Here is a 13313-nt window from a genome sequence, read left to right as displayed (position 1 = left end):
TATCTGAGTTGTGTAAGACACCATATATGATATATAACAAATAGGATATATGTTTATTCCTTAAATAGTTTACACTTAGATGCATAATGCTGATATCACTAGAGCTTTAAAAAGTTAGCAATTAGAGCAATGTGGCAGTTTCCATCTCCTAGCCCAGTATATTTTCCATTATTTTATTAAAAAGCTGGCAAATTTTTCTAGGAGTGGTTTTCATCACATACCTTTTAACCTTGACTTATTGGTATTATGGTTGTGCTATAGAATTGAATCTCCTAGGAACCTAATGACAGAGGACAGAAAAGAAAAGGAAAATGGGATCCACTCACCATGTTGAGGAACCCATGACCACCTCCCAATAGTGGCAGCCACTGTCAATGAATATATTTCCTGCTGCCCCATAGCACCCTGTGCCACTAAACCTCTCTGGGGTGTGGCTCTTCTTTAGAGAGCTTTCATCCTTCTCCATCTGCAATCCATCATTGGAGATCTTCAACTTCTTGTGAGTCATTTTGGGATCCAATTTAAAGGGTTGGCCTGAAAAATAAGTAGAAAAAAAAAAAAGAAAAAGCACTATGAAGTATCTTAAAATTCTACCTTTTCCACCAGCATCATCACTGGCAGGGTATGCTCGATAACATGATCACTCTTGGTCCAGTGCAAGTTGGCTGCTGTTTAAATTTTATTAAGAAAACAGGCCAGAAACCAGAGTTTTCAATAAAATAAGAATAAAGGCCAATCTCCCATAAAACGACCTTCATAACGGCGTTTATTTTCCCACTGTGGGAAAAAATGTGGATCTCTCCTAAAAGCAATTTGAGGGAAGTCATATTCCAAGCAAAGAGGAGCTAATAAGCTGTCCCCCACATCATATATTATCAAAGTAAAAGGGAGTGCTCAAAGTTTCATGTTCTCAAATATGTTTTGTACTTTGCTTAATTTCAGTGGGTTGTTTGGGATTTGGGTAGATTTTAACAGAAAGAGTGTTATGATGTCTGAGGTGAGGGGAATTGATGTAATTGCTGCTTGATGGCAGAACCGGAAAACCCTGAGAACTCAGCAACTGAACAATTATTTTTGCCCTCTTACAATTGGGATGTAAATAACATATAATTAGGCAATTTTGTTAGAGTGACTGTTGCATCATCAATGATCAGAGAAAACATTTATTGTGTAGGATCATTCACAACAGATAATTCTTTATAACCATATGACAAAGGCATTGTTACTGAGGGACCAGTTGCTGGGTGTGGCAAGAGATTTTTATACAGAATGCTTCTGTGACAGACACTGTTGGCTAACACATTACCCTTTCCCAACTTTTTCTCTCTTACTCACTTTCACTATAGAGGCCGGAAAAGCTAAATACTCAATCTTCCAGCCTCCCTTACTGCTAGGGGCGGCTAAGAACATGGAAGCAGATGGAAGCAGAAGTCAGACAGAGCAGGGGAAAGTTCTAGGAAAGTTTTGGATTTCCAGATAAAAGGGATAACCATTATGTGTACCAACTCTTTCCTCTTTCCTATCTTGAGAGGTAATATGACATCTGAAAGTTGCAGTGGCCATCTTGCAGCCATGTGGCAAGAAGCCAATGCACACAGGGAGAAGGAGCCTGCATCTTTTATGACATCGCAGAGCAGCTGCATTAGCCCTGAACTGCCTACCTTCAAACTTCTTCCTATGTGTATGTGTGAGAGATAAAATATATACTATTCATTTAAACAATTAACAAACGCTATTTGTTAAGCTATGTTAGTTGCACTTTTTGTTATTTGCTGTCAAAAGCATTCCTAACAGATATGGCTTCTCTGTAGTAAGATTTTACTAGATTATCACAAATAATGCTCTTTTATGCAATTGTCCCCCAAATATAAGGGGTGGAGTACAGAGAAAACTCTTCACTAACATCCTCCCAAGCTAACAGTCTTTTTGTGCATATCTCTGAGTCCACAAATCTCCCATGGGCACCAACAAACTCCTTGCCCAAAGTACAAACTACAACAGTATAGCTCCTCTACCCAGTACCACTGCTCCCCATGCACTGCTGTGAGTGCCTGCTCAGGCTGTGTACTCCCCTGGCATGGAGAAGAAAATTGATCTTTCCTTTTGAAATCACCACAACGTACTGTTTGTTTTTAGTCGGGTAGGTTCACTGTTCCGGCTGCCGGCTTGGTTTATGGCTTTAACGATGAAGATGTAGCGAGTCCCGCTCTGGAGTCCATGCACTGTGTAATGGTTCTGTTTAATGTTGGGAACAATCATCCAGCTGTCTACTGAATTATACAGGCCTGTAACATGGGGAAAGACAAGGACATTAACCAGCAGGTAAGAGAGACAGAATGAAAAACACACTGAAAATTCATCATAAGCCACCCCCTCAAAAGTGAATTCATTTTGTTTTCTTTTGAGTCTTAGAAGATGTAATGAGATGAACCAGGGCTTATGATTCCACTATTTCATTACTCCCATAGAACTAGGCTTAGGCCAGGCTCCTTGCTTGTGGCAATTGAATGGAACTACTAGCATAAGTTAGGTTATTTCAATTTCTTTCCCAGATAACACAGGAATGGCTACTATACAGAGTCACGGAATCATCACTCTTATGGAGTCTCTGGATATTTACTCCAAACGTCCACTCCTCTGAGAGCTGAGTTTGGTCTTGTATGGATGGAGCAATCCTGTGCAGAGCAGGGAAACATGGAAACTCAGCCAAAGGGACACATAGATACTGTATTTCCCTTATTTTACAAATGGGAAACTAGGATTGAGAGAAGAAAAGTGACCTGCCCAAGGCCACAGATAGTCAGTGATGGTGCTGAGAATAGAACCCTGGTATTTTTAAAATGGTAGCCCAGTGTTCTCTCTACTACATCACAGTTCATGGGGTGAACAACAATGTTCTTTTGTCTCTGCAAGGTAGTGAGGCTCTCAGGGCTTACAATTCCACTCTCCTACTCCATCCTTACCCTTACTTCCCAAACTAGCCGGTCTCCACAGTACCGTAGGGAAGCCAAAGAGATGACATGATAACCAAAGCAAGATATCATCTCCCCACTATTACACAACACATTCTGTTGTGTGATTCCCATGTTCATTTTGGGTTGAGTGGTCCAGGAGCACATTGTTATCTGGAATCTTCCTCCCTTCCAAGTAGGGAAAGGGATCAGAGAACTAGGCTTCTGCTTTTGATATATTTTAGACTGCAAATATTAACTTAAACAGGGGAAATGTAAATAATTAAAACATGTATTTGGCAAGCTTTCGGTAAAAGAAAAACCAACATTCTAGTCTGCAGATTATTTAGACTTCTTTCTACTGTTATCTGCTTTTCAGTTAGTTTACCACTTTTTAGCCACAGTTCTACTAGAGGGTAGAAAGGGAAAGGCGAGGAATATAAGCAGTGAATTCAGTCATTTCTATGCAACTCTAGTACAAAATTTAGTGAGGTTGAAAATTGAAAATAATAAGTCATGAATGTTTTGCAAGAGATCTGATCAAAGGGCTTATAATTAATCTGAGAGGAAGTTGAAGAGCCTAAGTTAAAACTAGTAAAAGAAACGATGGAGGGCAAACAGATATGCAGGAGAAAGAGGAGGAAGAATTGGTGGAGGTGCCCAGTGATTCTAATGAAAAGACAATATGGATTAAAAGGGTAGGAGCAATGTTTGAGGCCTTGCCTATGTTACCAATACACAGTATGAATCACAAGCTGCACATAAGATTTTAATACAAAGAGGAAAACATATAATCTCCAGATACACACCCAACAATACAAAGACAAACTTCACAATGAAGTACTATGCAGCTGTGAAAAAAATGAGGAAAAGATCACTATGAACTGATATAGAGTGATTTCAAGGAAATATTGTCAATTGAAAAAAGCAAATTCCAAAAGTATATATGTATATGTAGTATATATGCAGTACACTACTTTTTTGAGAGAAAGAAAAATAAGAAAACATCCATATATTTGCTTGGATTTACAAAGCAACAACAATAAAAACAGGAAAGATAAATAAAAAATTCATGAAGTTGGTTATCCACAAGGGGTAGGGGGTGGAGGAACAGGATTAAAAGGATGTGGGAGGAAATGACATTTCTCTGAATGTACCTTTTTGTATAGCATCCTCTTTGGGAAACACATTGTTTTACAAATTCAAAAAAATAAAATTAAATGAATACAGATGGGAAAATTGGGGACTAAAGCTGAAGGCAAACTGAAACAAACCCAACTGCATTTCAGACGAACAGCATAATTACATCAATGTAGTGGGGGTGGGAGGAAAACCTCAAACAAATCCTGAAGTATTGTTAGCCAGTTTGTTTTTGTTGTGGCGTGGACAGAGCAATTCAGAAACTATTTTAGATGTATTATGGGATTGAGCAAATGAGTACATGTGTTGATGTTGGGAGCCAGGGTTCATACTGTGGAAGAAGGAACATACAAATACAGAATGGAGAAAGGCAGGAAGGAACCTGTGGGGATGGACTGGAATTTAAGGTATTGGTGTAAACTCATGATTTCTAAAATATATATATGTTTGTGTATGTGCACATAAATATGCACATATATAAAGTATGTATGCATGTGTTATTATATATGTGTGCATATGCTTACATGTATGGATATTTGTGTTTATATCTAGCATATCTAGCACTCAGGTCTTGGTCTCTAATATTGTCCCACTAAAAGAAACCAGGGTTTCTTGGAAAATAATGACTGATTTCAAGGCTGGGACAGAATAAGGTCAAAATGAGCCTAGAACATTTTGTTATGCCAGAAAGTAAGGAAGTGCTCAAGAAAATGATGGGGGAATATTATAAGGACCCAGAAATCACCTTGAAAGGCTCCCAATGGCTAAATCTTGACAATTTGAACACCAACACAAGTAAGGGCTGTAAATAATTATTAACAATTGAAAAAAGATAATTCATCAGCCCATACTGATATATAAACAAATGGGAGGAAATGGGGAGTGGAACTCTTGCTTATAGTAGAATGCCAAGTGCCAACTTGAAAATGTGGGAGGGAATACTCAACTGGAAAAATCATCATTTTGCAATCATCATATTAATGATTGATTCAGGCAAGTATCATCAACTGATAATAAAACAAGGGTGGGGGTAGGGATGAGATGGTTTGATGAAGCAGCAGGGTATTTTTATGGTTTTAAAACATACCACACAGATTCCTTATTAGTGGCAAAAGAAAAAGTAGCAACTACAGTGAATAAATCAGACGACATCTTGACTAGGTGATCAAAATTAGCATCATCAGTGAAGGGCAAGTGGACATCATGTGTCTCCAGATATTATACCCTAAGAAAGAACTGTACTGCTAAATATAATCATGAGAAAACTTCAGAAAAAATCAAAATAAGGAACAGTATAATGAAGTATAATAAAGACATAAAAGAACACTTTTTAAAAAATGTCAATGTTGTTCAAGACAAAGAAAGGCTGAAGAAATGTTCCAGATTAAAAGAGATATGGCAAAAGAGATACGACAATTAAATGTAATACCTGACCCTAAACTATAAAGGACAATATTGGGTTCTTTATATGTCATAAAGAATATTATTTGGTCAAATGTCAAAAATTGAAATATAAATGGTGGTTAGATAAAAGTATTGCATCAACGTTAAATTTCTTCAAGTTGGTAACTATACTGTGGTTATGTAAGAGAATTTCCTTATTCTTAGGAAATATACACTGAAGAATTCAGAGGTGAAAGACCATGATGTATGCAATTTGCTCTAAAATGGTTCCAAAAGAACAGGGAATGTTAGCAAATGCTAAAGGAAATGGGACAAATATTAACAGTAGGTGAATTTGGGTAAAGAATATATGGGTGTTCTTTGTGCTAGTCTTGGAAAGTTTTCTGTGATTTTGAAATCATTTCTAAATTTAAAAAGGTAAATATATGATCCTCTAGGTATTACTGAGATTTAGTAAGATGGGACTTATGATTGAATTATGTCAGTGGAAGTATACCTCTTGTTCAAAAGGGAAAAATTACAATATGGAAATCCCTGAACCTGAGTGTAAATGTGTGGTAGAGAGTATTTGCATGAGAATGAAAAGGAAGGGAAATAGAAGTTATGTCTTTCTGGTAGTATGTTATGGTCCGCCTGGCTAGGCAGAGTTTACGGCTAATGCTTTTGTAATGCAAAACACAAAATTCAAACGGAGGAAAGATAATAAAGTAATCAGAAGACAAACACACTCAAATATCTGTTGGAATTCTCATTCACCTCACAGCATAATCTGAAACATCATTGGTTGTGATCATTTCAAATCTTAGAAGAGGTGGGAAGAAAGTTAAAAATCAGGAAATAAAGTTGAAAGAAAAGGTGAAGGGGGAATAATCCTCACCAACAAGCATGAAATTTCTGGATAAAGAAAATGTGAAAAAACGTCAAAGGAAAGTAGCTCTCAGAACGGAGGTTCAGTCAACTGTGGCAGGCCAGACCGGCAGGTAGGATTGGGATCCTGAATCTTCAAAAATACTTATTCCTAGTAAAATAGTTTCTCATTGCCATCCAAAATTTTGCTTCAGGCCTCTGCCCTTGTCCTTGTTCTAACAAAATTTTCTATCAATAACTAGAGGAAGAAATAGAAGGCAGGCTGTGAGGGTAAGCAAGTATATTTGAAGGTAGAATCTGTATCCCAAAGGATTTTAGCATGCTGAAATGAAGTGGCAGAACTAACCAGATAAAATGTACTAGGGATAAATTCAAGGCTTTGTATTTTTGTTTTAGACATTCAATTGTATAAGAACAGGATTTGGAATACATAGAAAATTCAGTTGATCATATGCTCAGTAAACAGTCAGTAGTCAAAGTGGCTGCTGAAAAAAAAGGTACAGGGCAATTGGGAATCAGCTAATGTACAAGAGAAATAATCCAGCTATCCTCTGCAGTGCTCAGACCACTTTGGGAGTACTACATTCACTTCATTGACAGAACATTTTATAAAGCACAGTGATAATCAGGAGTGTGTTCTTAAAAATGATACTAGGATAACAAAAGATCTGAAACTATGCCATATGAAGAGCAATTGAAAGAAAGGAAGATGCCTAGCCTGGAAAAGAGAAAATTTAGAAGGACATAGGAACTAACTAAAATTATCTGAAGAACTGTTATGTGAAAGATGGATTAGGTTTGTTAGTGAGGCACAAAAGTTCAGAACTAGGACTAATTGGTTGCTGTGGTTTACTTTAAGGAGCATTAAACTTGAAGTCTGACAGGCTCAAGCTGCAACCTTGACTCCCTCATTTCGTAGCTCTGTGACTTTGGGCAACTCACTCAACCTGAGCCCCAGTTTCTTCATCTATAAAGTAGAGTTAATAACATTTTATAAGGCTAAGTAAGCACCCATAAGGACTAAATGAGATAATGTATGTGGGAGCATTTGTAAATGGCAAAGCATAATACACATGTAAATTATTATTGTTGTTATTATTTACTAAAAGGAAGAGTTAAGCCCCTTATAAGGAAGCACTGGCCATTATTTATAGCTGCACAACAATCAAATGGGTTGTTTTGTTAGAAGTGAGGTACCTATCACTGGAAATGTTCAAGCAGAGACAGGATGATTATCTACTGGGTGTCTGGTAGAAGGGAAGAAGATTAGACTAGATGACTTCTAAGCTCCATTCCAATTCTAAGATGCTATGATCCTATCACTGTTAAGAATTATCCTTTAAGCTTTTCTTTACAAAGGACTATATAACCTTGAAAACAGAGGTGACAACCTTTAGATCTTTGTCACTTCTCAGACTTCTTCTTAATTCCTGGGAGATGACTGCTTTCCCCATATCAGGAAAAAGAAGCACAGTTGTTGGCGCTAAGACTTTCCAGAGTAGGAGAGACAAATAAATCAGTGAAGCATTAGAGTTTGTGACTTCACAATCTGAAGAAACACCCAGGAACATAGTTACATGGGCCAAGTGGTTTAGGTTGGAGCTGCACGAAGCAAATGTTTTTTAGAGTTTGATCCCCAAATGTCCTCTCATCTCCCCACCCCACCTTGTTACAAAACAGAATTCTGCCCCAGATTTGTCACAAAACAGGAAAAGGAAGCCTATTTGAAGGGGTTAGTTGGAAAAACTACTCTCATGCTGGCCTGTGAAGTCAGACACAAAAGCAGGAACAAAAAAGTAAAAGAAAATACTAATTTGCAGCTATGGAGATGTTATTTTAGGTTGGGAATCTGTTCCAGTCTTGAATCCAGCTTTAATTTTGCTTTTGTTTCCATTTCCACCATCCCTCACCCCAGCCCTCACTGCACCCAGGGCATTGAGGGGAACTTTCAGCTCATCCCCTCTTGACTGGCATGAGTGAAGTTCCTACTCTGTTTTGTCTTGCTCCAATTCACCAGAAAGTGAAACCGTAACATGTGAGCTAAACAACAGCTTTGTTAACCTTTTTCATTTTGTGGCCCACTGACATGTTTTCATATTTAGCATAATTCTTGGTGGAAAGGAAGAAGTAAAGGGAAGAGTGACAGAGGCAGGAGGCTTGTCACCATATTCACTGATAGAGGTAGGTTTGGTAAAGGAAAAGTCTTTGAACATAATGTATTTTACCACGATAATGAAGTAGAAGAAGAGTCAAGGAGAGAGATGTTCATACACACAGAACCAGCAATGATGGTGGCAAGGAACAAGTACCAAGCTGTACTCTCCTTGGGAAAGTGGAGTGACATGGATTAATTGAGGAAAGGCTAAGGGTTACATAAATGAATGGGAATGGCCCCAGCAACTGCCCAGCAAGGAAATATACAACTTGCTTGTTACCCATCAGTAAGGTCTTTGCAATGCCCTGGGGAGCTTACACTGTCTATGAAACACTATACTAAACAACCTAACATGTCTTACAAACACTTGCCTCGTGGCGCCCCGGCCAATCTTGAGCAGCTTACTGCTTCCTTACATTTCCTTATCTCTGGCCACAGGCCCCAACTACACCATGACTTACTGATGAAGTTAGCCTGGCCAGTGAATATGGTGTACTGAAGCTCATAGGAGCTGATGCTGAACTCATCATCCGAGATCCAGTGGACTGTAATGGTGTCATGGGAGGCAGTACAGAGTTCTTCTCGGATAGATGGTGGGTTTGGGGCTGTAAGGAAAGGTGGAAAAGAAAGTAAGGAAAGCATACTTTCTCTTCTGGAATTTTACAATTGTTACTCTTCCTGCGTAACCCAACATCTCTTGAAGAGATTTTCTTAATAGAGAATCTTTAGATTGCATGAACCATGCAACCTGAAGCAAAATGCTGGGATCTCAAGCTCCCTAAAACCACTTTTGCTACATCAATAAAAATATTTTAGCAAAGATATAAGCCTAAATTTTTGTGATGACTGCCCCAGCTGTCTAGTCTGCCTGCATAAACACTTATGTAGACATTAAAGTGATTATATGGTTTTCTTAACATACGGTCTTCAACTTATTTTTTTAAATTTCAAAATGAGTATATATATATATAGACAGATTTTTGCTCTTGTTGCCCAGGCTGGACTGCAGTGGCGCAATCTCGGCTCACTGCAACCTCTGCCTTCTGGGTTCAAGTGATTCTCCTGCATCAGCCTCCTGAGAAGCTGGGATTACAGGCACCCACCACCACATCTGGCTAATTTTTGTATTTTTAGTAGAGACAGGGTTTCGCCATGTTGGCCAGGCTGGTCTCGAACTCCTGACTTCAGGTGATCCACCCACCTCGGCCTCCCAAGGTGCTGGGATTATGGGCGTGAGCCACTGTGCCCAGCCCCATTATATATTTTTAGCTGTATAGTCAAGTGCAAAATAATGAGTTCCCTCATCTATAAAATAGGGGTGATAATTAACTTATAGATTTGTTGTAAGGTTTAAAGATACAAAATTAATATACAGTGTCTAGAATAAAGTAGATGTTCAATAAGGAGCAGCTATTTAATATAGTAACAAAACAGTTCAAAAATTGTTTGTGTATATTTTTTTCATGAAATGATCATTAAATAATCCTGAAAGTAGCCAGCATTTTTAACAGGCTGGTTGCATCCCTCATTTTCTAAAATTGTCTGAGAGCCAGATATTTCTTACATTTTTCTTCCTGATCTACTAACTCCTAATTTTCCTTAAAACCATTTTGGTTGTACTTACACCCACATAAGGCATTCTCTAATATTCCCTAATTGTCACCTGAGTTCTACTCTCATAACTAGCAACAATACATTACTGTTAGATTCATAAGGACAAATCTATCAGCAATTTCTTGTGTTTTACTCTTAAGTACAGATGGTATACCCATTTTGACCCTAGAAATAGTTAACAAATCATAAATCATCTTTTTTTCTGTTACATGAACTAAAATATATTCTGTCTGAAAAGACACATGCATCATTTTAAAGATTATAAAATATGTAAATTATAAATATTGTCTTTTTCAAATTATTTTTAAGTAAAAGCATACCAGAAGAAAAAAAATTAAATGGAAAGGAAAGCACAGTATTTTCACACCTGTTAAATAATCTAACCCCTCTAGCAGTTTCTTTTCTCTGGAAAAATCTAAAGCAAAGTTTTCAAAGGCATCATTAAAATTGATGTCTGGAATCAGAACTTGAGAAGATGCAGTTGCCATAGCGACCCTGAAAAAGAGAAAAGTACATCAATATACATCAAAATAGGTTGCAACTTTCACCCAGTGTTTGATTTCTGGTTTAACAAGGAGAAAATAAATGACTTGTAAGGCTTGATTTATTTAGTGAAAATATCATATCTCTGCCTTTCCAATGGAAACTATTTAAATTTTAATCATCAGGAACCAATTAAGAGTTATACCATATTTATTCACATATGTTCACCCCTCAAACACACTCCCCCATCCGGTCTTAATTTTGAGAAGTAAATACAGGATTTTTTCCCCTCTGCATCATTTTCCATCTGGCAGACAGCATCAAAACTAGACCTTTAAAGGTTTGGTAAAAACAGTTTAAGAGAGATTTTTCTTTTTTGTTTATGCTAGTCAGCAAGTCAGCATGCTAGGTTAACACCTTCCCTAAATATATCCTTTATGTGATTTTTTTTTTTTTGAGACAGAGTCTTGCTGTGTCACCCAGGTTGCAGTGCAGTGGCGCCATCTCAGTTCACTGCAATCTCTGCCTCTCCGACCCCCTTCCAGGTTCAAGCAATTCTCATGTCTCAGCCTCCCTAGCTGGTGGCCCGCCACCACACCCAGCTAATTTTTGTATTTTTAGTAGAGACGGGATTTTGCCAAGTTGGCCAGGCTGGTCTCAAACTCCTGACCTCAAGTGATCCACCCGTTTTGGCCTCCCAAAGTGCTGGAATTACATGAGCTAGCCACCGCACCTGACCTATGTGATCTTTTATAATATTTATATTTCACTTTATTATCCTCAGATTGTATAGTGCTATGATAGTTTTATCTTCCCAACTAAATCTAGGAGTCTCAAGAGCAGGGTTCATATTTTGTACCTCTTAATATCTTCCATGGCCCTAACACAGCATTTGACACATAGTGAAAAAATAATTGTTGAATGAACAATTGAATGACTAACAACAAAATAACTGCTAACATTTATTGGGTGCTTAGTATATACAATGCTCTGTGCATTCACTTTACATACACTATCTAATTTACTCTTTACCATAACACTATGTAGTAGATGTTATTTCCATTTTGCGAATGAGAAAGTTGGCACATTAAAATGCTAAGTAACTTGTCCAAGATCACACAACCAGTAAGAGTCAGAAATATAATTGAGCCCATGTCCATCTGATTCTAAATTCTATAACCTTAACCATTTAGACTGTTCTTTTCTTCAAAAAATTGAGGTATATTTTATATATTTCAGCAATTTTTAGCCATCGCTACACATCAGGATTATCTGGAGGAGCTTTTGCCAAAATATACATGTTTTAGTCCTGTGCAAGATCTTCTAAATCAGAGCCAATGAGATCCTTGAACATGTAAATGATGGTGAGGAAAGAAAAATTCACTTGGCAATAATATGTAGGTTAGAGGAGAGAGAAAAGGCATTGAATGTAGGAAGACCAGAGAGGAAACTTTTATGGTGAACTAGTTGTAAGGGAATGGGAAACTGAAAAATACATATCCTCATGTACATATACCCTGCTATACATCTACCAACAACACCTCTTATTGTTTCTGAAAATAGAGATGTTTCAGTGATAAACTACAGGCCAAATGAAAGACTAGCTCAGTACAATCATAAGGTCTCACATGAATAGCCAGGATTTGGTGAGTAAGGAGACAACAACTTCTTTAGGATAACAGTTAATCTAGAAAATTAGCTCATGGAATTTCTTTCTGGCCTCTCCAATCTTCTTTATTTCCTCCATCCATCTATCCAATACTTATTAAGCACAACTAATGTGCCAGGCACTGTACTGGGCACTGGAGATACACAAAGTGAACAAGCTTTGCTGTGGTTCTTGCCTTCAAGAGCTCACACATCATGAAGGAGAAAGACATTACGTGGGCAATAGAAGTGCTGCTACAAAGGGAGTAGAGCATACACAGGAGTTATCTAAAGAGACTTGGGAGCTAAGGGAAATCTCCCATGTGGAAGTCGATTTTCACCAATGACCTATGTAATGAGTAAGAGTTAACTAAGCAAAGACTATGTGGATGTGTGTGTGTTCTCTCTTGTTTGAAGCCTGGAGAATGAGACAAAATCATGCAGGACTTTGTAGGCCACGTTACAAACGTTGGATTTTATCTTAAGAACGATGGGGGTCACTAAGCATTAGGTGGGGAAATAATATGCTGAAATTCATGTTTCAGGAATACTACTATGGCTTCAGTGGAGGGATTGGAAAGGGTCAAAATTGGAGGCAAAGAGACCAGATTTTAAAGTGTCTTGGAATAAGCATGAGTGTAAACAAACAAAACAAAAAGGGTTAATTCACAAAGCATCAAAGAAAACAAAGTCAAAGCAAACAAATGGCCAATAAATATATTTAAAAAGTCCAACTTTATGAGAAATCAAAGAAATGTAAATTAAAATGAGATAGCGTTTAAATTACAAACAAATGACAGCATAGGAGCTTTTATGCCTATAGTCAATAATGCCTACATATTTGTATTAGGATTGAAATTGATACATATTTTGAAGGCCAAATTAGCATTAAATTTCAAAATAGCTTAAAATATAAGTCTTCTTTGACACCACAGTTCTATTTCATAAAATTTTTATTATGGAAATAATTGAGATGTATGCAAAGATAGAACTACAAGGGCACTCAACACACCATATGTAGCCTGATTGTCTAACAGTGGAGACTGAGTTAA

The 13313-nt window shown here is 37.5% G+C and overlaps 1 protein-coding gene and 1 long non-coding RNA gene across 5 annotated transcripts in view, besides 2 other annotated features; one reads left to right on the top strand and one right to left on the bottom strand.

Moving 5' to 3' along the window:
* MID2 (midline 2) overlaps window positions 1-13313 on the bottom strand; it is a 105903-nt gene that overhangs the window by 5010 nt on the left and 87580 nt on the right. For 2 of the 4 annotated variants that reach the window (NM_001382751.1, NM_012216.4), the window contains exons 6-9: window positions 10499-10626; window positions 8889-9122; window positions 2124-2285; window positions 327-534 (exon numbers count right to left, since the gene is read on the bottom strand). In NM_001382751.1, coding sequence (NP_001369680.1) covers window positions 327-534; window positions 2124-2285; window positions 8889-9122; window positions 10499-10626 — 732 coding nt within the window. The remainder of the gene's footprint in view (window positions 1-326; window positions 535-2123; window positions 2286-8888; window positions 9123-10498; window positions 10627-13313) is intronic. The other 2 variants (NM_001382752.1, NM_052817.3) reach the window with 1 other exon arrangement.
* LOC101928335 (uncharacterized) overlaps window positions 1-13313 on the top strand; it is a 41384-nt gene that overhangs the window by 9353 nt on the left and 18718 nt on the right. The gene's annotated exons all lie outside the window — the stretch shown is intronic.
* Window positions 6729-7229: an enhancer, noted in NCBI's record as "H3K4me1 hESC enhancer chrX:107162629-107163129 (GRCh37/hg19 assembly coordinates)". NCBI's record gives its function as "activates a minimal SCP1, AML or CMV promoter by ChIP-STARR-seq in naive H9 embryonic stem cells {active_cell/tissue: H9 hESC(naive)}" and the evidence as "EXISTENCE:reporter gene assay evidence [ECO:0000049][PMID:30033119]".
* Window positions 7230-7730: an enhancer, noted in NCBI's record as "H3K4me1 hESC enhancer chrX:107162128-107162628 (GRCh37/hg19 assembly coordinates)". NCBI's record gives its function as "activates a minimal SCP1, AML or CMV promoter by ChIP-STARR-seq in naive H9 embryonic stem cells {active_cell/tissue: H9 hESC(naive)}" and the evidence as "EXISTENCE:reporter gene assay evidence [ECO:0000049][PMID:30033119]".

The sequence above is a fragment of the Homo sapiens genome, chromosome X (assembly GCF_000001405.40).
Source record: "Homo sapiens chromosome X, GRCh38.p14 Primary Assembly".
In the NCBI taxonomy this organism is placed as follows: Eukaryota; Metazoa; Chordata; class Mammalia; order Primates; family Hominidae; genus Homo; species Homo sapiens.
Note: the sequence above shows the minus strand (reverse complement) of the source record. Positions and strands in the feature narration are given on the sequence as shown.